The sequence below is a fragment of the Homo sapiens genome, chromosome 14 (genome assembly GCF_000001405.40).
Source record: "Homo sapiens chromosome 14, GRCh38.p14 Primary Assembly".
Classification (NCBI taxonomy): Eukaryota; Metazoa; Chordata; class Mammalia; order Primates; family Hominidae; genus Homo; species Homo sapiens.
In genome coordinates, this window is record NC_000014.9 from 74,815,679 (window position 1) to 74,837,646 (window position 21,968).

A 21,968-nucleotide genomic window follows, 5' to 3' on the forward strand; every position below is an offset into this window, starting at 1 on the left:
TGTTTCTTTCCTCTGTTTCTTTAGTTTGCTCTTCTTTTTCAAGTGTCTTAAAGTGGATGGTTAAGTTATTGATTTGAGACCTATTTCTTTCCTACTATAGGCATTTATAGCTATCAATTTCCTTTTAAGCACTGCTTTAGCTGTATCCTGTAAGCTTTGGTGTGTTGTGTTTTTTTCATTCATCTCAGAGTATTTTCTGGTTCCTCCTGGTTTCTGGCTCCTCTTGATTTCTGGTTCCTCTTCATTTTTTCTTTGATTCATTGGTTATTTAGGAGTATGTTGTTTAGTTTTCACGTATTTGTGAGTTTCTCTAATTTTTTCTTACTATTAATTTCTAATTTCATTCCACTGTGGTCCAGTGACATACTTTATATTATTTCTGTCCTTTCAAATTTATGAAGGTTTGTTTCATGGCCTGTTGTATAGTCTATCCTGGAAAATGGTAGGTCATTGTTAACTGTTATCTCATTGCAGAAAATTTTCTCTCAGTGATTTTTTTTTTTTTTTGGTCTATTCTGTTTCAGATTGTTGTTATAATGAGAGGATTACCTGGCAGTGGAAAGACACATGTTGCAAAACTTATTCGAGTGAGTATGGGGAAGCTGAAAAATCAGCTGCTTGTGCTGCTTGTGTTAGTAGTCACTTGCCTTCTTATTAATAGCAAGCAACATAATGCCAATAGAATTGTCTTCCATTTGATCCATTACAGTTGGCCCATGTGGTAGATGTTGTCCCATATATATTTTTATCTACTCAGAGAAACATTTTTGCCTCTGCTTGATTTGAAACCACCAGAAGATTGTATATTATTTAGCCACAAGAGGGAACTTTGGTGTGAACATTAATTTATTCCATAAATTCGTTTTAACCTTCTTGACTGTATGATTCTTAGGATAAGGAGGTAGAATTTGGAGGACCTGCACCCAGAGTTCTAAGCCTGGATGATTACTTCATCACTGAAGTGGAAAAAGAAGAAAAAGATCCAGATTCTGGAAAGAAAGTGAAAAAGAAGGTATGGTATTCATCTCAGATCTCGTTCTGATTCATTAATAGTATTTAAAGGAAAATGTGTTTGGAGAGAAATGTGGCTTTTTTGAGGGCAGGGACCTCTCTCTTTTCCGAACACAGTACTTTAGTACTTGGGTGTGAAGGAAAGACTACAAAGTCATCTCTATCCAAATACTAACCAAGGAAAAGGTTTTGGATGATTCTTTGCTTTTGCTAATTCCATATCTCTTTTGGGGGACCTTAGGTAATGGAATATGAATATGAAGCTGAGATGGAGGAGACTTACCGCACCAGCATGTTCAAAACTTTCAAAAAGACTCTGGATGATGGCTTTTTTCCCTTCATCATCCTGGATGCCATCAATGACAGAGTTAGGCATTTTGACCAGTTTTGGAGTGCAGCAAAAACCAAGGGATTTGAGGTAGAAGCTTAAAGAACTTTAAAGTACTTTGTGTTGTCATGTAAATGTTATATATCTTTGCCTAATTATTATTCATTCTTGCTTAGGTATATTTGGCTGAAATGAGTGCAGATAACCAGACTTGTGGCAAGAGAAATATTCATGGAAGAAAGCTTAAAGAAATAAATAAGGTGATTTTAAGAAACATAGAATAATAGAGTACTATCATGCGCTGCATAATGATGTTTTGGTTAAGGAAGGACTGCATATATGGTGGTCCCATAAGATTATAATGTATTTTTATTGTACCTTTTCTGTGTTTAGATATGTTTAAGTACACAAATACTTCATTGTGTTGCAGTTGCCTACAGTATTCAGTACATTAACATGCTGTACAAGTTTGTAACCTAGATGTGCAGTAGGCTTTATCATCTAGGTTTGTGTAAGTATACTCCATGATGTTCACACAATGACAAAATTGCCTAATGACCCATTCCTCATAATATATGCCCATTGCTAAGTGATGTGTGACTGTACTCTAAACCTCATATTATCTGTATCAGCACTCTTGTCTGGAAGCTCTTGTTTATCTCCTTTTTTTTTCATAATAACTTTCCTATCTGCTTTAGTAAATGTTTCTCTTCCTTTGTTTCTTTTCCTAGCTCTTCTTGAAATTAGCCTGTTATGGCCTGGCATGGTGGCTTAGGCCTGTAATCCCAGCACTTTGGGAGGCTGAGGTGGGCGGATCGCTTGAGCCTGGGAGTTTGAGACCAACCTGGGCAACATGGCGAAACCCTGTCTCTACAAAAAAATACAAAAATTAGCTGGGCATGGTGTCATGTGCCTGTGGTCCCAGCTACTGGGGAGGCTGAAGTGGGAAGATCACTTGAGCCCACCATGTCAAGGCTGCAGTGAGCCATGTTGGCGCCACTACACTCCAGCCTGGGTGACAGACCGAGATTCTGTCTCAAAAAAAAAAAGAAATTAGCCCATTAGACTTTACAATATTAAATTAATATTTAACAAATATTTAATTAATATTTAACAATATTTTAAAATATTGTTAAATGTTGTTTATCTTGGATGCTTACTTGGTCTTTGAGTAGTTTCTAGAGATAACTCAACCATCTGAATTTTTCAATAGATGGCTGATCACTGGGAAACTGCACCTCGTCACATGATGCGTCTAGATATTCGTTCTTTGCTGCAAGATGCTGCTATTGAAGAGGTGAGTATCCTTTGGTTCAAATGCAATGCAAAGTGATGTTACTTTTTCACCTTTTTACTTTGAAAAACTTAAAACCTACAGAAAAGTTATATGAATAGTATTCATACAAGAACACCTACTGATATGCCTTTCATTGAGATCACGGTTAGTATTTTGCCACATTTTTCTCTGAATGCATGTATTCTTATTAACATTCTTGTTAATGATGTCACTGTTTTTGTGGAACCATTTGAGAGTTAAGTTGCAGATCTTATAAACCTTCACCCTTAAATACATCAGTAGGTATCTTGTAAGAACAAGTACATTCTCTTTTGATTTGATGACAGTTATCAAATGCAGGAAATTTAGTATTGATAAAATACTATATTAAGTAATATAAATTTCCTGAATTAAATTTCTTGAATTATCTCACATATAGTTTATATTCACATTTTACCAGTTGTCCCTATAACGTGGTATATAGAAATTTTCAAAAATCTAAGATTCAATCCTTTAATATAAAATATAGTTTCTCAGCCTTGTCATTGTCATGAAAGATAAAGAATTTATGAAGAGTATAGGCCTGTTTTGTAGAATGCCCCTCAATTTGAATTTGTCTGTTTGTTTCCACATGCTTAGGTTCAGGTTAAACATTAGCGGGAATGCTACATAAGTGATACTGTGCCCTCTCAGTGTGTCACATCAGGAGCCATATGGTGTTAATTTATCTCATTATTGGTGATTTAAGCACTGATTACTTGGTTAAGGTGATATCCATCAAATTTTTCTACCTTTTTCTCTTTGTGATAAGTAATCTGTAGGGAGATACTCTTAATATCTTTTCCCCAACAAATTTTCATTCACTGGTAATTCTTGCCTGAATTAATTATTTATTTGATGGAAGGAAAAATTTTCTATTTTTTACCAGTTGTAGGTTTCTGTTTGTTTGACCTCTTCCATACTCAATATTGTCATTGTGCTTTTTTTTTTTTTTTTTTTGAGGTGGAGTCTCACTCTGTCACCTAGATTGTAGTGCAGTGGTGTAATCTCGGCTCACTGCAACCTCCGCCTCCAGGGTTCAGGCGATTCTCCTGCCTCAGCCTCCTTATTAGCTGGAACTACAGGCATGCGCCACCATGCCTGGCTAATTTTTGTATTTTTAGTAGAGATGGAGTTTCACCATGTTGGCCAGGCTGGTCTTGAACTCCTGGCCTCAAGTAATCTGCCCACCTCAGCCTCCGAAAGTGCTGGGATTACAGACGTGAGCCACCATGCCCAACCGTCATTGTTCTTTTATGTGTTTTTAATTCCCATGCCATTTCTCAACCCATTTTTTTCTGGCTTCTGCCACTACCATTGTCTGGCAACTCTTTCACTAATGATTTCCGTGGCAGTGGACAGTTCTCATTTCCTCTATTGATTAATTTTGTAGCCACATGTAATATAGTTGACCATGCCCACCTTCTTAAAAAACATATTTTTCTCTTGGCTTTTGTGAATTCACATTTTTCTGGTTTTCCTTTTACTTTTTTGGCTATCTCTTTTCAGTCTCCTTCACTGGCTTCTCCTGCTTCTCACTCTTTAAAAGGGCCCCCTTAGGGCTCCATCCTAGGCTCTGTTTTTATTTTGTACCCTCTGTATAGATCATCTGAATCTTTCCGGTAGCTTAGATTGTCACTTACGTGCCATTAATGTTATAAAGTCTAGATTGAATTATATTACTATCTAAATAGTAGTGTTTCTGAATGGAGGGAGTATAGGTGATTTTTATAATCTTCTTTTTACTATTATTTTCCAAATTCTCTACAAAAAATATATATTATCTTAGTATACCTCAAACTCAACCTATCCAAAATATTGTTCGTCCAAACCTGTTTTTCATTTAGTAGTCTCTGTTTTAGTAATTAGAACCCTAACCACTTGATTGCTGAAACCGGTGCTCTGGGAGTTATCCCTGACTCTTTTGTCATTGTTGAGACAGAGTCTGACTCTATTGCCCTGGCTGGAGTGCGGTGGCATGATCATAGCTCATTGCTGCCTCACCTCCTGGGTTCAAATGATCCTCTCACCTCAGCCTCCTGAGTAGCTGAGACTACAGGCGCATGCCCTGTGCCCAGCTAATTTTTTATTTTTTTTTAGAGATGGGGTCTCACTATGTTGCCCAGGCTGGTCTTGAACTCCTAGACTCAAGCGATCCTCCTGCCCCAACCTCACAAAGTGCTGGGATTATAGGCGTGAGCCACTGTGCCCAGGCCTGACTCTTTACTCTGCCCTTGTGACCTGTCATGTAGTCAAGAAAGTTTAGTCAGTTGTACCTTTTAATGACCTCTGTAACTCATCTGCTTATTTGCGTTGCTACCACTCTGGGCCAAGCCAATATCATCCCACTTTTCACTATACTTTTTCTTATATTTTGAAATTTGAATCATTGACATGTTTTTACCTGATTGGAAAAATACTCGTTAAAGATTTTTAAAAGTCTAGTAATCCATAGGCATTCAAAATAGGTAACCATCTACTTAGCACTTATACTTAACTTTACAGGGAATTGTACAGATGGATATTCAAGGAAAATTAAAGGCAGTAGTATCCTGTCTTTTATCAGTTCTGTTTCAAAATTTAGGGTGTTAAAAATTACTTGGTATGTAACAGTGAGCCTGTCTTGCTCTGGGCAACTGTATTCATTCCAGATCTCAATGAGGGAGTCAATATTTTGCTAAATGTTAACTCAGTCTTTTTTTTTTTTTTTAATGGTTGGTATAGGTAGAGATGGAAGATTTTGATGCAAATATCGAAGAACAGAAAGAAGAAAAGAAAGATGCAGAGGAAGAGGAAAGCGAACTGGTAGGAGACAGACCAACCACTTTGAACAGTGTCTCTTTATTAAAATTCTTAAAGAAGGTTTAAATTCAGATCTGTGGTTAGACAACTACTGTTGATATACACTTTAGTGGTAAAAGTTTCCATAATCATCTTCAAGGAGACTTTTGGATACTCTTTATTTTTCCCCAGACCAAAAGAACCCTCTAATGTGGTGTTAAGAGAAAGTTTTAACAGAGTGCTAAGAAACTTACCCTTGTACTCATCTATTTGTGGGTGGTTTTAGGGGAGTATACCTTTTAAGAAAATCAATTACATATGAAAGGGCATTCTTACATTCCAGCAGATATGTGGCACAGCCTACCCAACATATGCATAATTGTCTCTTCTTTGCTACAAGATCTCCAAATTTGAGTTTCTGTCAACAGAGGCAGAAGAACTTATTGAATGGGGAGGCAGAGGGTTGCCACTGGCTGCTAGATTTGTTCTTCTGCATTTTATCCTAAGTGACGGGGAAAAATTAAATGACTGTGTAGGCAATGGATTTTGCTCAGGCTGATTAGAGGCTTACATAGTGTGAGTTTAAAGTTTCTGTGTACCTAATGTAAAATGCTTTCGATCACACCTCTGTAGAGATGTTTGCCTTTCCCTGTCATTCAAGAATATGCGACCTATAGAGTTACGTTGACTTTTCAGTGTTTACTGAAGTACAGAGATTAGCAATGCCTTGGAATAGTGTTGCTTTTTAAATCCAGAATATTACTCGGTTTATTTAATACTTGAGCCCTTGCTAAAGTTGCTCCTCATATTCTTTTGAAAATGTACAAAATGAGAACTCTGATTCCTACCCCCTAGAGTATACAGAATCTCCAGGGAGTGGTCCCATCGAACCCGTGTGTGATATAGAGGACTCTTGATAAAAACTGTGTTTATATAAAGATGGTGTCAACCTCTACATTCCAAGATTTCAAATGTGGATTAAAAAATAAGTTTTAAAGTTAATGGCATTTGAGTCTCAGTATGTGTTTTTTTTAAATCTAGTTTTCTTAAGTTGTATTTTGGCATATATAATTTAAAATGTAGGCAGGATATTCACTACAAGGTCCACGCTCTTCTGGAATATGGCTAATGACTTCTTTAGCCATTTGCAGCGTGTGTACTAGAAACTGATTACGTGAGAAGTCTATAATGTTTTAGCTTTCTGAAGCTCCGTCTTTCTTTTGTGGAGATTTCAGTGGTTCATAACATCTGACTTGCTTAGGTGTAGGTCAAAACTTGGGAACTTTTAATTGAATGTACTATTACTTTTTAAAGTGAAACACACTGTAATACTATATTTTTACATCAGAGTCATGGCAAGGAGGCCTTAAAATTCTACCCTGCTGGATTATCTGTTTTATTTCCAAGTGGCCTACAATTTCAAGCAATGGGAGAGTAATATAGTTTAAAGGAAGCACAGGATGATTCCAGCAGGGGGAAATGAATACACTTGTCTGCCTGACTTGATTATAAAACTTCTCTTAACCCATTCAAAGATGCAGAATTGAAATCTTTTACTATTGGAGTCCATTCCAAGAGTAAAAGATTCTTGGAGAATATGTTAACCAAGGGTTAAGAGCAAGTTTCATACCAACCACTCAGATCATTTAAATGGAATTCTCAGTAAACCTTGCATTTTCCACTCTGCACTAATTAATATAGCTGGATGAAATCCAAAGTTTTGTTGGTAAAGATAATCGTTTGTAGGGGATCATTGGTATGATAGTTTGCCTCCTTTAGTGCTTCAGTGAACCTAGTAGATAAAATTTATAAATATATTATTCCAGTGATGCTTAAAGTTTTCAGATGATTTTTAAGATGTAACTTGTCTTCAGTACTTTTAGCACTATCACTTCAGTATAGCTTTGTCTTGGTTTGTTCTAAAAAATGTATTTGGGAAATATATAATTTGTAATCCAAAATACTACCTAGTAAGTTGAAATTGAATTATTAGTTCTGGCTGGTAGACTAGAAATGTATGAAACCCATAGGATTATGCTCTAGTAAACTCTTACACAGAAGCTATCATCATGAAATCTTCAAAATGCTTTGTGACTTACTTTACCTGTGTGTCAGTTTGTTTCATGAACTTGAACATTCCCAACAGTAGAGAGATAGATTGATTCATAAAAGAGGATACTGACACCTTTGATGAATCTGTCCTATTTACTAGGTTCCAATATTAACATTTCTGTATGTTAGGTCTAATGGAAAACAGTCTAAATGAAGGTAAAGGGGAATAATGATAAATCACATGGTAAAAGCATATACTTGCTAGGTGAATAAACAGAAATGATTACTGCATAGTTCAATAGGCACACTGGGAAATTTGAAAATCTTTTGGGAGTGACTTTGAAATAAGCCACCCAGTTATTTTATGAAATATAAGATGTAAGTTGCCAGTGGAGATTTCTGGTTTTTCATGTAAGAGGAAAACATAATTTTAAAAAACATCAGAAATAATAATCTAGTTTTCAACTGATAAAAATGTTCTGAATTTGATTCAGTAAAATTAGCCGTTGTATGCTCTAACTGGTAAATGAATTGAGTCATTTTAAAATGAAGTTGAACTTCCTAATCGGGTAATTGGGTTAAGTGCCACCAATTCTTTTCCTTTCTTTTGAGTACTTAAGATTACTGAAATATAAAGTAACTATCTTGAAGAACACTTTTTGCATCTTATAGCTACTATCACTTGAGAATAGCAGTTGTATTTAGAAGATAACCTAGCTAGTATTACAAATTCTCTGATACTCTGAGTAATATTAATATTAGCACAGTAACTACCTGTACATTCTTATCATATTTGCTATACAGCTGTTGTTCAGACTACAATTGTGAGTCCTGAACTGTAGCTGCCTCAAAGCGCCTTCATGATACTATTCTGAAGTGACTACTCTGAAATGTGGACAGTGAAGTTTGGTGAATTTGGTCATTTAGTTTCTTCAAAGATAATGAGATTGTGTTTCCCCTAAGGATGTATTTACAGCTAGTCAGTGGAAACTGAATCCATTCCCAGTTTTAATGCTTTTCCAGTTCAAACGTGATATGCATGTATGTGTCTCTTTCTAACCCTTCGAGCTTCTCTCTGTGTACGATTTAGGGTTACATTCCGAAAAGCAAATGGGAGATGGACACATCTGAGGCAAAGCTAGGTGGGTATTTCCTTTTTCCTGTTTTTATATGTGATACCTGATGGTAATGGTCATAGATCTTTCTGCTATAAGAGGAACAAATTTCCTAAAACTTCTACTTGAACAGAGATTTCTGGCCTACCTTATATCCTCCAATCTATTTTGCTAGTTTTTATATCTTGTAACAAAGTGATAAGTATTTTAAAAGAACTGCTTTCAATACTATTTAAAGTTTTTAGAGTCAACAGAAATATTTGATAATTTAGCAACAAAATATTGTCACTTATAAAATCTATTCTTTTATATTAATCAGAAATGTTGGTGCTGATGAGATTTCTTTTTTAAAGAATATTTAAATGCAGTCCAAAGTTAAACCTGATTATGAATACTTTAGATAATAAAAATAATATAAAGTTTAAAATTAATTAAAAGGCATTTATTCTCCTTGTATAATAAATGAGAGTTTCTGAGTAGAGAGGAGTAGATATATAATTCAGGTTTTTGAGGAGCCTGCTTTATAAGATTCAGTTTAAATTTTTCTTCAAATTGTTAATGCCAAATTCCAAGGTAAACCAGTTTAAATGATTGTCTAAATCAGAATTTGGAGTTGCTTAATGTGAAGTTATCTGTCAAACAAAAAAGTCATACATATCCAATGGATTCCCTCTATTATTTGTTGGTGAAAACTGCAAAATATTTTTTCAGTTTTACTTCGCTTAAAGAGAACCATTTAACATGTTGATTAAGATGTATTAATAAAAATCTAAAACAATGTGCTAAGGACTTTTTGAGATCAGCCTTACTGATGTATGAAGTATGACTGTCAGTTTATGTTTCTTTTCCTGGTATTATACTCCAAAACTAAAGGAACCATCTAAGTATCTTAAATTGATACAGGAAGTTTGAGTCACTGAGCTGCTTCATTGCTTGGGACATGTGTTTCTGACATCAGAGGAGTGCATTTTACATGCAATTACATAAGTTGTGCCTTTAATTTGCCCCAACTACTTGTGTTAGTAGTTGGTATTGACTAGGTTCTGTGTTAAAAGACAGTTCCACGGACTTTATTATTACATTACTGGTATAGGTGCTTTGTTGTCAAGTCTAAAAGATTTTTTTTAGTTTATGTCATGTGAAAATTATATGTGGTTTTTGACATATTCTTCTAGTAGTCTTCCCTCTGTGGGAAATCTTAATAATAACCAATTGTCATCTTCCAGAGACCCTTAAAGCACTTATGTGTTTAAATGCAATTAAATATGTAGGAAAATAAAAATTACAAAATACTTTTAAAATAATAATAATGCTTTAGTTCTGCTTATTTCGACGTTAGATTAACTCTCTGTGAAGTTCTGTACATTAGAATGACCCATAATATGCCAAGATCATTTCTCTCTTCTGGTTCTCTTAAATATTGATTATCCTTTAGGGCAAAGAGAGATCATAAATAAAGATAGTTAAGGGGAATGTAAAAGTGATAAATATTAACTTGTAATCTCTAGAGGCCTCATGTAATACATGATCTGGGGTAATGCTGTTTTAAACTCAAGCCAGTCCATCTTTTACTTTTCTTTCTGTTTTTAAAAGGAAAAGGGAATTTAGTTGTGATGATTATTCAAGAATATATATTAATATTGGTATTTCTTGGAATTTCTGGAAAACATTCTGGCCCGTCTACCATTTGCTTCTCAGAAAAAAACATTTTATACAAATTTTCAGTTTTAAAGACAGAATAGTAGACAATGAATTCCAGAAATGGATTTTTAAAACAAACCATTTCAGTGAAAGGCACTGAAGATCTGGTAATAAATCTAGGAAATAAATTTTAACATATTTACAGTCGGGTTTTTATTTTTTAACAAGAGTGATAGTGATGTTGTATATAAGGACTTGTATCTTGCACCACTGTATTGAGAGCTAATCCCACCACAGAGGAAGGCAAATTTAGTGTGCATTCTTGAAAGTGCTTAGTACTTTGAGGTTGGTCCATTGAGCCAACTGAGAAGATTCTTCTCTAAAACATGAGGATCTTGTGTCGGATCTTGTAGCCTATTTATGTTGCCTTCCTTATCATAACAAATTTAATATAATTTGATTACCAAGTACAATTTATTTTTCTGAGTACTTTACCAACATTCTCCAATTACTCTTGGAAAATGATTATACTGGGTGGAAATGTATTAAGTTTTAGCAGTGTCACATGTTGAGCAAAAACAGTTGAATCTGAAACAGAGGAATTTTGATTCACAAATGAGTCTGCCAGTGAGAACATACTTACCTATAGTCTTTGAAGCAGCTGGTTAGAGCTTATTGCAGATTCTTGGTCTATGCTCATTAAGTTTAGTACACAGTTCAGCCTGTGCCTGAATGTTAAATTGGAAGTGATGTGATTTTTAGAACAGTTCAGAACAGGCCTGAGCTACCTCTGGCATGGAGTTGTTGAAGGCTGCCTGTGGCCCACCTTCAGTCCCACCAGACTGGTTCTTCCCTGCTGGGACACAGGCATCATAATGCAAGGGCAGGTTGTTACTTGCCACATCAGGTGGTGGGATTCAGCATTGAAGCTACTTAAACTCCAGTGACATGATTTTAGTTTCTCATACTGTGAAGCTAGAATATTTGAGACTGTTACCATCCTAATTTAGGTTTCTTCATATAAAGTACTTTTGCTTTTCTCATCTCAGTGTCATTTGTCTCTACTCTTGAGTTGTATATTGGTTTTCTACATGTCAGACAGATTCATCTCTTCAGAGTTGGAATATAATTATTATTTGTATAGGTGCATAATCTTGTATGTTTACGTTGAACAGATTTTCAGAAATACCATTTACATTTAGAAAATACATAGATGTATCTAAGGAATTTTTCTGTTGTGCTATAATACATACTGTTTCAAATATGTGGTAAAATTCTGTGACCTGCCATATTGGATTTAAAACTTCATCTTCATCTTAAAACTTCATCTTTTGAAATCTCTGAAAATCATTAGTGTGCATGTATTGAACACCAGTCTTTATTCTGTAATTAACACCCCAGATTTCTTTCCCCTCACCTTATGCCATCCATCTGTGTGTTTGGTTTCCAGTATGCCATGTGGAAGAGGTGTGAGCCTTTCTTCAGCCCAAGAAGGAAACTTTAAACATATTTGCACAATAAAATTTCAAATTAAACATTTCAAAAAGGGTGCTCAGACTAGAAATACATGCTCTTCTGAAATTCCATGTTGCAACTGTAACTCCTGTCATATATACCCAGTGTATGAGGAAAAGTTCTTGCAGTTTTCACACTGCCCTTCTGTATTGCTGCCTGGCTGTGCTCTGTTGTTGGAACTGAAATATGAAATTTTTACTTTGAAGTATGTTAATGTCAAAGTTGATCGTATTAAGTTTGGAAATCCTTTGAGGTTTATCTAATAAGTGTGTTGGAGCTTCTGTCTCTTCTGGTAATACTGTACCCTGTTGAACCAAGAACAGTTTTATTGTTTGTGGGACTTCGTTGGTTTTCTAATACCATAACCTGTGTCCCTGTGCAGTCAGGGGGTCACTTCTTTAAGATCATGTATAATACGGCCCGTCATATACACGTAGATAGAGCCATGTGATTCCAGAAATTAGAAGACTGGATCTGTGGAATCCATACATGTTAAAATTTTGCCAAAATGAGATGATTAAAATTTTTGTGAGTTTTATAAACTGTTGCAGTTCGCCTTACTGATTTTTCAATGATAATCACTTTTATGGGAAGGGGGCTTAGGAACAAAAAACTTTGCCAAGAATGCAAAATCTTACTGGTTTTTAAAGCTTGTAACAGTTGTGTGTAAAACTTTTATATTTGAAACGTAAACTCACCCTTTCTGCCACTGCTTTCATTGCACTTTTCATACCAAGTTCTCTCCAACGTGGTGTCTGAAAGATTTTTATTATATACACTCTTTATGGAATTCAATGAAGTGTGGTTATGCTGTGTTTCTGAAGTTTTTAGGCTTTTCTTCATTGGCCTGCCTAATACTAGTGTGTTTCTATAACTTCAGATGATTCAAAAGTTTAGTGCTTCATTGTAGCAAAAAATGTATATAACTCATAATATCCTACATGTAGTATTCAAAATCAATTATTAATAACCAATAAAAGACTCAACACATTTTCATTGCGTGTTCTTCTTTAAGACACCTAAACTCATATCTCATAATTTCTGAATCCGCAATCCCTATTCATTAATTGATTACAGTTTTTGAGTTGTTGGAAAGCCTAGCCCTCTCAGATTCAGGGTTCAGAAAGAATTACCAGGTCTGGTAAAATTGTCTGACTAGCCCTTAGCCTCAGAATGGTCAACTTCATAGTATAAGCAAAGAAAGTGGTGATCTCATATAGTCAGCTTTTTCATGAACATTAATTCATGGTGAATGCACTCACAGCAACCAAAATCCAAAAAAAAAAAATGTTCATCTAAAACCTTAAACATTAGCTTGGCTCATTGAGTTCTTGGTACAACCTGCTTTTCATATGACACAGTATCAAACATGATTTCAGATGAAATGGGTGGTGTTAATATTGTGTTAAAGAAAAAAAGAATGGAAGACACTGTCTAGAAAAGCCCAACTTTGCATTTGCCATCAGAAAATGAGAACTGTGGTGGGTGGGAGGACAAGGAGGCCAGGAGCCAAGTGCCTTTTCTTGCCTTGCCCATATTTGCTCTTAAACCAACATCGTAAACATAATGGCTACCAGTGTGAATACCAAACAATGGAAATTGCACAGAACTTGATATTATCTCAGCCAAGAAGATAGTTTGGATCTGCAAGTGATGCTGCACTCAAAAATGTGGATATGCCCTCTGAAAGCGTTCCAGCCTTCTTTTCCCCTGTGTGTGTGTCGTGTGCAAACTCACACTCTTCCTTAATGCTACGGCTCTGTGTTTGTCCCTCAGACAAGTTGGATGGCTTGAGGACTGGTACTAAAAGGAAACGTGACTGGGAGGCCATTGCCAGCAGAATGGAGGATTATCTTCAGCTCCCCGATGATTATGATACTCGTGCTTCTGAGCCTGGGAAGAAGAGGGTAAGAGACTTTGTCAATAACTGCCAACAAATGAAGGGCCCATTTAGGCATCTGGTTTTAGGAAGTTACAGGCAGATGATCACATGGATGCTATTTTTAGAATGATTTAGTTTACGCTATGTCATGTATCCCAAGAAGGAGTCATACCTTATAAATTATCTCATCAAAATGTACAAGTAGCTTAAAAAATTGGAGAACAGAACCTCACATGGCTAGCACGTTGTCAACCTTAAAGGCATTGGGAGTGGCCAGTCACTTGTGCTATTTTGTCATGGGGCAAAAAAAGCCAGGTACAGAGTAGGGTATTGAAGAGAACCTGTGGAACTTCTTAATGGATGGGATGTGGAGGGTCCAAAGGTAGATCAAGGGTGACCCCTTGGTACTCTGGCCATGAGCACTGCATGTGTGTAGTACCATTTAGTGAGAGAGAAAACTGGGGGAGTCATAGGTCATAATTTTTGGAACTGAGAGAAATGATTTAAGTTCTGTGAGAGAAATTCTAATTTTTCTTCTAATTAAGTTAGAAATATAAGTGAAAATGTCAAAATGACTGTTGGATTTATTAGTATAAAACTCACCAGAGAGATCAGACTGAACTAACAAATTTCAGGAAATGGTATTTAAAACCGTGGGACTGAATGATCTTGCCCAAGGAAAAAGTATAAATGGAAAAGGTAATAGGACGCCAGACCTCCAAAATTTAGTTCAGATAGAGGTGTTTCAAGAAGGAAAGAGTATAGTCAGTTTTTAAATGATGCAGAAAAGACAAGTAAGTTTGGAACAGATAAATGGCTGCTAGATGTTGGCAACATGGAGGTCACTGATGATTGTAGTTTGTCATCAGTCTACAGTGATGAGGCAGCAGAAACCAGTTTGGAGCAGATTAAAGAATGAATAAGAAATGATGAAGTACAGTACAGCATATATAGGCAACTTTTTGAAGTTTTGCTGTGAAAGGGAATAGAGAAATGAAGCTAGGATATTAGATAGGTCTTTACATAAATGTTGAATTCGATAGTGATAGATGTGTATATCCTTTAAAACAAAATAAAGCAAAGGGATCGTATTATATATACTGTTGTGTAGAAGTCTTTTTCAGCTAATCCATCTTGATCTTTCTATATAAGCATATACAGAACTACCATTCTTTTTAAAGGGCTACTTGGTGTCCCATTGTTTGGTTGTACAATCAGTTATTTAACTAGTCCCTTTGTGTTAGTCCGTTTGCGTTGCTATAAAGGAATACGTGAGATTGGGTAATTCATGAAGATAAAAGGTTTATTTTGGCTCACTGTCCTGCAGGCTGTACAAGAAGCATGGTGCTAGCATCAGCTCCTGGTGAGGCCTCAGAAAGTCTTCAATTATGGTGGAAGACAAGGGGGGAGCCAGCATGTGACGTGGCGAGAGAGGAACCAAGGGGAGGGGGTCCCAACTCCTTTTAACAACCAGATCTCACATGAACTCAGAGTGTGAACTCGCTCATTACCGTCAGGAGGGCACCAAGACATTCACGAGGATCCTCCTCCATGACCCAAACACCTTCAGTATCGGGGATTACAATTCAACATGAGATTTGAAGGGGACAAACATCCAAACCATAATGTCTTTACTGATGGATGCTTACAGTGTTTCCATTTATTGCCAGTACAGATGTGAAGGTTGTGGTGTGTATGTCTCTCTTTACACGCTTACATGCAAATAATTGCCTGTTTTTCTACAGCAGTGCTGTAATCAAACTCTTTAACTTTTGACAATCTGATAGGTGAAAAAAATAGTATCTCATTTTTCATTTATTTACTAAGAATGAGGTTGTGCATCATTTATCTTTATGCATCATTTCTTTGTATTTCTTTCTTAACGAATTTTCTCAGTGCCTTAATGTGCTTAGTGTACTTAGTAATGGGCACCATTACAAAGAATCCAGGTTTCAAAGCTTTTTAAAATACTGCAGATACTCCAAAGCCTGCCCTTGTCTGTGTAGCTTCAAAGGATGGGTAAGGGAGAGCCCACTGCCATTTGCACCCAGCCTCACCAAAGGACTGCTTATAGTGATACCTCTTACTCCAGTTTTAAGGCTGGAGCCAACAGAGGCAGAAGTGGCCCTTCCTTGCAAATAATAAAGTGTAGTTCTGGTAACAATTAGTAATCTAAAATGAGAAATATTTTCTCTGTTTTTACTCAGGTAACTATCACTGTCTTCACTGAGGAGTATGTAATCCCATGCAGTTTATTTTATTAGGTTGGGTGACCAAAGAGAACTGAGTGGTGCACATTCTAGTTCTTTAAAGTTGCTCCTCTTTAAGTCTCCTCCCCTGCCTTATACCTTGACTTCAGATAGTTTTTAACTCTTGAACCACTCACCAAAACCAACATTAGAGCACAGGAGATCCTACAGGTAGCAAAGAATACAGAATGCTGTACATTACTCATTCCTTCTTGGGTTTCTTTGTTTCTGTGATTCAGCTTGTTACAGATATCAGATGGGTTCTTGGGATTAACTTCCTCTATAACAAAAACGTGGTTCTGTAGAGTTGGTTATATTAGAATTTTGCCTAAATGGCTAGGCTTTAAAATATAATTTACTTTTAAAATATTTGCTTGCTTGGGTATAAAATGGTAGCTTACTTGGACTTTAATTTGTATTTCTTTGATGACTATGGAAGGTGAACCTTTCCCTTGTTTGTTTGCTGAATTTGTATATTTTAGAAATACTTATAGTTACAGTGGATGAAATATAAGTACCTCAAACCTTTGAGGGCTAGTTAAGATTTTTCTGTATTATAACAAATTTATTTTTACAGGAAAAAACAACAGCAAAAATGTCGTAAGTCTCAAAAGTACCTCTAGGAAAATTAAAAGGGACACTGATATTCAAGAAGCCATTTCAAGCTGAAAGTCATTATTCTGCTCCTTGTATGTTTAGTGGTTCGGTAATCATTTATTCATTCCATATGTTGAATGTCTTTGTACGAAGTCTATGAATGAGTCCTCTTAAGGAGCTGACATCCAGTGGAGGAATTCAACATGTAAATAAATAATTTTACTATAGCATCAGTATAAATTAGAGATATTAACAAAATACAATAGTTTCCAAAATATTTTAATTCCAACTTCATTTGTTTTTTGTTTTTTTGTTTTTTATTTTTGAGACAGAGTCTCACTCTGTTGCCCAGCCTGGAGTGCAGTGGTGATTTTGGCTCACTGCAACCTCTGCCTCCCAGGTTCAAGCCATTCTCATGCCTCAGCCTCCTGAGTAGCTGGGATTACAGGCACCCACCACCACGTCCGGCTAATTTTGTTTGTATTTTTAGTAGAGACGGGGTTTCGCCATGTTGGCCAGGCTGGTCTCAAACTCCTGACCTCAGGTGATCTGTCTGCTGCAGCCTCCCAAAGTGCTGGGATTACAGGCGTGAGCCACTGTGCCTGGCCTAATTCCAATGTTAAAATCTTGAACATTTATTCGCAAACATACTACTCATTTCAAAAACACCTACACATTTTTTCTTCTAATCCTATATTCTTTATTTTATCTGAGTTTAAAACTTAGAATTTAAACTGTAGATTTAAAAGTAGCAAGGTGAGATTGATCAGTATATTTAACTATGTGCTGAGGTTGATAAGTATATTTAACTATGTGCTGAGGATGCCGTGGGAATGGATTTAAATTTGCTGTGGGCTGTTTACTTTTTCTTTATTCAATGAGCCTTACCATATAAGGGGCAAACTGTGGCCACTGAACAAAGAAAAAGTAACCAGCCCACAGCAAATTTAAATCCATTCCCACGGCATCCTGAGCACAGTATTGTGTTTTCACATAAATGCCCAAGACTTAGTTCGTAATGATCTTTCGCTAAAATGTGTATCCTTGATCCAGGTGGAGCTGAGAGAATATACATGAATTAAATTTAATTAATTAATTATTATTGAGGTAGGGTCTCTCTGTCACCCAGGCTGGAGTACAGTGGTGTGATCTTGGCTCACTGCCACTTCTGCCTCCCAGGCTCAAACAATTCTCCCACCTCATCCTCCCTAGTAGCTAGGATTTCAGGCACCCACCACACACCATGCCCAGCTAATTTTTGTATTTTTAGTAGAGACACGGTTTCGCCTTGTTGCCCAGGCTGGTCTTGAACACCTAGGCTGACGTGATCTGCCGGCCTCGGCCTCCCAAAGTGCTGGAGTTATAGGTGTAAGCCACTGTGCCTGGCTGTATATATGAATTAATCAAAATAGGTACTTCAGCATTGATGAGCAGAATGCCCAAAGATTTTTCTATATTGAAGCCCACATTATTTATTAGGCTTCTTACTAAAGCCCATGAAAGACATTGAGCCATAGGTTTTCTATACACTAAAAACCTACTTTCTGGAAAGTCAGATGTTACCAGTTTCTTCCCACTGCTATTACTTTGGCTCCTCCCTTTGACCAGGTGATACTGTTAAAAGCCTAGTTATTTCATTGCTAGTCATGCAAATGGTAATTAGTGTACATTAGAGCAATAATGCATTCCCAGGTTCAGTGTAAAGAGCATGGTGTTTCCATGCTCTGGTTCTCTCTCCTTGTCACAGATAATAAATCACAAGCCATGTTTAAAATACATTCTCTGCAGTCTTTGATACTGTGTAGTGCAAGCAACAGATTCATAGTTTCTTTTTAAGAATCTGAACTTTTACAGAATATGTATATCTCCATATACTTTTAAAAACATATTAACATAATATGTGGCTGGGCATGGTGGCTCATGCTTGTAATCCTAGCACTTTGGGCGGCCAAGGCAGGAGGATTGCTTGAGTCCAGCAGTTTGAGACCAGCCTGGGCAACATAGTGAGACTCTGACTCTAAAAAAAAAAAAAAAAATTACAAAAATTTTTAAAAAGCATAATATGTAAGAATATATATATATTAAAAATCAGAATACCAATAGGAAATATCCCTGATCCATATATTTGTAGTTGTAATCTTGCCATGAATTATATCAGTTGAGTCTGTTTCTTGGTCTCTTTATCTCATGAATGAAAGTAATAATACCAGCTTACTGTTTTCTCTAAGATTAAATTTCAAGAAATATTTTTGTGTAGAGATAAATAAAATTCAGTTATTGATCTAGGGTGTTGATAGTCTGTTAGGGAAGACAGATCTGTAAGTGGATAATTATACTACGGTGTGGAAGTTCAAAAGCAGACATATCAAAATCCGGAAGTTAACTGTGGAAAGCAGTGATTATTTGATTGGCAAAGGAAAAAGGGGTAAGTCAGGGAAGGATGACTAGACTCATGCCAAGTGGATAAGGTTAGGGAAAAGACATTTCAGGAAGAATGACTAGTACATATATGCAGAGTTATAGAGACATGAAATGGTGCGATGCGCTCTGAGTGCTAGAAGGAAGTCTGTATTGTTTGTATAAAATGCCATAGGCACTGGCCAGAGATGTTGCAGGAAAGTGTAGTTGGGGCCAGATCAAGAGGGACCTGAGTTCTTGGACTTTGCCTGGTAGGTAGGGGAAGGAGTTAAAGCAAATGAATCACAACTGTGTGTTTTAGGAAGATCACTCTGGCAGCATGAATCTGGAGCGGGTGAGTACAGACAGGAAGACTAGGTAGAGATTAGTGCTTTGCTTTCAGGTGAAAAAAAAATGAGGTCAGTGAATTATTAAATAAAAAGGAATGGCAGAGGAGAAAGAGAGGACAGGATTGAGCTGAACTGTTCAGGAGCTGGAATGGTTAGGACTTGGATTGTCCAGAGAGTTTTCTCTTTGTGACTTAAAATATATGGCTTTTCCCAGTTTTCCTGGGTTAGTTTTTAATTTTTTAAACTTGCGGTTTCAAATGAGTCATTCTACCCCTTAGACTGTCCAGAGAGGGAGGGGGCTCTTTGCATATTTATTTTTCCTAAAGCTCAGCCTAATGCTATGTTCTTTTTAGGTCAGATGGGCAGACCTGGAAGAGAAGAAGGATGCAGATAGGAAAAGGGCCATAGGTTTTGTGGTCGGACAGACTGATTGGGAGAAGATCACAGATGAAAGTGGTCACCTGGCTGAAAAAGCCCTCAATCGAACCAAATATATATGAGACTTAGTTTTTGAACGGAGTCATTATTCCTCTAAGGTAAGAGTACACAGTCATATAAATAGCCTACTGTGTGGTTGCTTCAAAGGGTTTGAGATAAAGAAGACAGCATATTTTGCTAAAAATGCTCTCTTCTTGTGTTATTTTATAGTTCTGAAAGAGTAAGTATGTACTAGTTGTTAACATTTACAATACTATTAGAAAAGGAAGCCATTTTCTGCAAGCTGGCTCACTTATAAAAATAAAAACCTTGAGAAAAACTTGAATTCTATAGATTTGGGAAGGACTGAAATGATGTTATACTAAGGGCTACTGAACTTTTTGCCTGTTCTTTCCAGGTGTGACAGCCTTTTCTTTTCTTTCCAGGTGGTTCGCTTTGAGGTGGTCTGAAGCCAAGGCCTCGCGGAGCTTCTTTGTGTGTCACCTTGCTTCCACGTTTCAGTTCTTGTTTTGTTTCTACTGCTTTAGTTTTTTTTAAAGTTCTCCAGTGTCCCCAAGAGGTATTAGAATCTTGCTGTACCCAAGCAAGACGTTAATTTTTCTTTTAACTGTTTTGGGGAGGGAGGGAGTGATAGCTTAACTGCTGAAGCCAGGCGGGGGTCTGCTGGAGGATTCCAACAGAGAGTATTTCCTCCACTGTACAATGTCACAGACTATCTCTATCATCATTGCTTTGTGGCTGTTTCTGTTTTTTACTGTATGTAACTGGTAGCTGATTGTACTAGGATTAAAAACAATAAACTTTCATGATAAAGCCGATGAGATTCATGGGCTATACAGCATGGGCCCTTTTCTCTTGTTTTCTTAATTTTATTTTTAATTGCTTTTTAAATATGGTATGTCCTAATTAAATGCTAGCTGAACATCCCAAAACCTTTTTTTCATTGAATATTATATGGCTCAATGATTCCGTAGCACATGTTGTAAAACACAGGGTTCAAATGATGTTCAAAACACTCATCTTTGTTTTATAGCTGATTTCTCTATCTTTGTGTCTTGAAGACTGACCAAGTTCAAATATTCATCAGTTCCCTGGAGCATATCCATTCTGTAACATGATGCTTTATTTAAAAATTTTTTTTGATCCTCTCTCTGTTCTTCCCTCTCTTCTTTCCTTCCTTCTTCTTTTCACTTTCTGCCTTTATGCTGTTAGGTTTTTATTTTTTCCTGATCTGGCTTTGAATTCTGGTAGACAGAACTGATGTATTCTGTGGAACTCAAGCTTGTTGCCTTCATTTGAACTTGAATTGTGGATTTTTAAATGAAGATTGCAGGGAAAGAGTATAAAGATGCAGAGCACTCTGGCATGTAACCTTTAAGCCTGTCAGGTTTTCAAGTTCTTGCCAGATTGTTCATTACTGGAAAGCATGGCCTTCTGCACAGAATTTCCTCTCTTGTGGTTAATACCAGGTGGAACCCAGAAACATACAGAGATAAAACCCAAATATTATTTCTATGTAAACACAGAAAAGGGACTCTTCCCTTTTTCATCCTGCAAAGAAAAAAGTCATCTTTTAGCATGAAAGAAGATGAGAGAGCCTTCTTCCTCAAGCATAATTTGCATTTTGTAATCCAACTCAGTAATTTGTAAATGTGTTCACTGAAGACTTCAATATTTTGAAATATTCTCTTTCAGGCCACAGATGAAAATCCTTTACTTTTATGACCTACATTAAAGACTGTATGAATAGAGCTAATAGTTACTAGCATTTGAATAGTATCACTTTGGGTTCAACAAATTGATATTATAGTACTGAATACCCCTAATTTAATGGAAATTCTAACAACTTTCTGTACTTTTATCTTCCCTGAAAATCTGAATTTTTAAGCAAGTGACTTTAAGTTCATTAAGTCAATATTGAATGTATAAATTGCTACATTAAATAACTTCTGCTGTTTGTAGTATTTAATAAGCTATTTTCATTGCTTATTGGCCTACAATACATTTCTGTGTACTGACCTTTCTCAGCAGCCTTTATTATGTAGAGTGAAGATATGTCGCAAAAATAGCCAAATAGAATTATTGTTTGTACAAAGACTCATTTACTACTTTCTAAAGCCACCCAATGCCTATTATCAAAAACAAAACTTCCATAATGTGTTCTCTAGTTCAGATGAAATGGAGGCCGATATGTTCTTCTGCAGGATGCTTTATTTCAGTTGTCCTTAACCTTGTGATGTTCTGACAGTAGTTAGAATGCCAATGAAATGAGTGGTGATTATCCGTGAGTCACTTGG

General features: G+C 36.4%; 1 protein-coding gene across 6 annotated transcripts in view; it reads left to right on the top strand.

Moving 5' to 3' along the window:
* YLPM1 (YLP motif containing 1) overlaps nt 1–21,640 on the top strand; it is a 74,003-nt gene extending 52,363 nt beyond the window's left edge. For 3 of the 6 annotated variants that reach the window (XM_011536966.3, NM_019589.3, NM_001411052.1), the window contains 10 exons: nt 525–587; nt 893–1,012; nt 1,253–1,429; nt 1,516–1,599; nt 2,553–2,636; nt 5,379–5,459; nt 8,578–8,629; nt 13,535–13,665; nt 19,587–19,769; nt 20,097–21,640. In XM_011536966.3, coding sequence (XP_011535268.1) covers nt 525–587; nt 893–1,012; nt 1,253–1,429; nt 1,516–1,599; nt 2,553–2,636; nt 5,379–5,459; nt 8,578–8,629; nt 13,535–13,665; nt 19,587–19,733 — 939 coding nt within the window. In that variant the 3' untranslated portion in view covers nt 19,734–19,769; nt 20,097–21,640. Of the gene's footprint in view, nt 1–524; nt 588–892; nt 1,013–1,252; nt 1,430–1,515; nt 1,600–2,552; nt 2,637–5,378; nt 5,460–8,577; nt 8,630–11,693; nt 12,755–13,534; nt 13,666–19,586; nt 19,770–20,096 lie in introns of those variants that run through there. The other 3 variants (XM_005267860.4, XM_047431592.1, XM_047431591.1) reach the window with 2 other exon arrangements.
* The last annotated feature ends 328 nt before the right edge of the window (nt 21,641–21,968 follow it).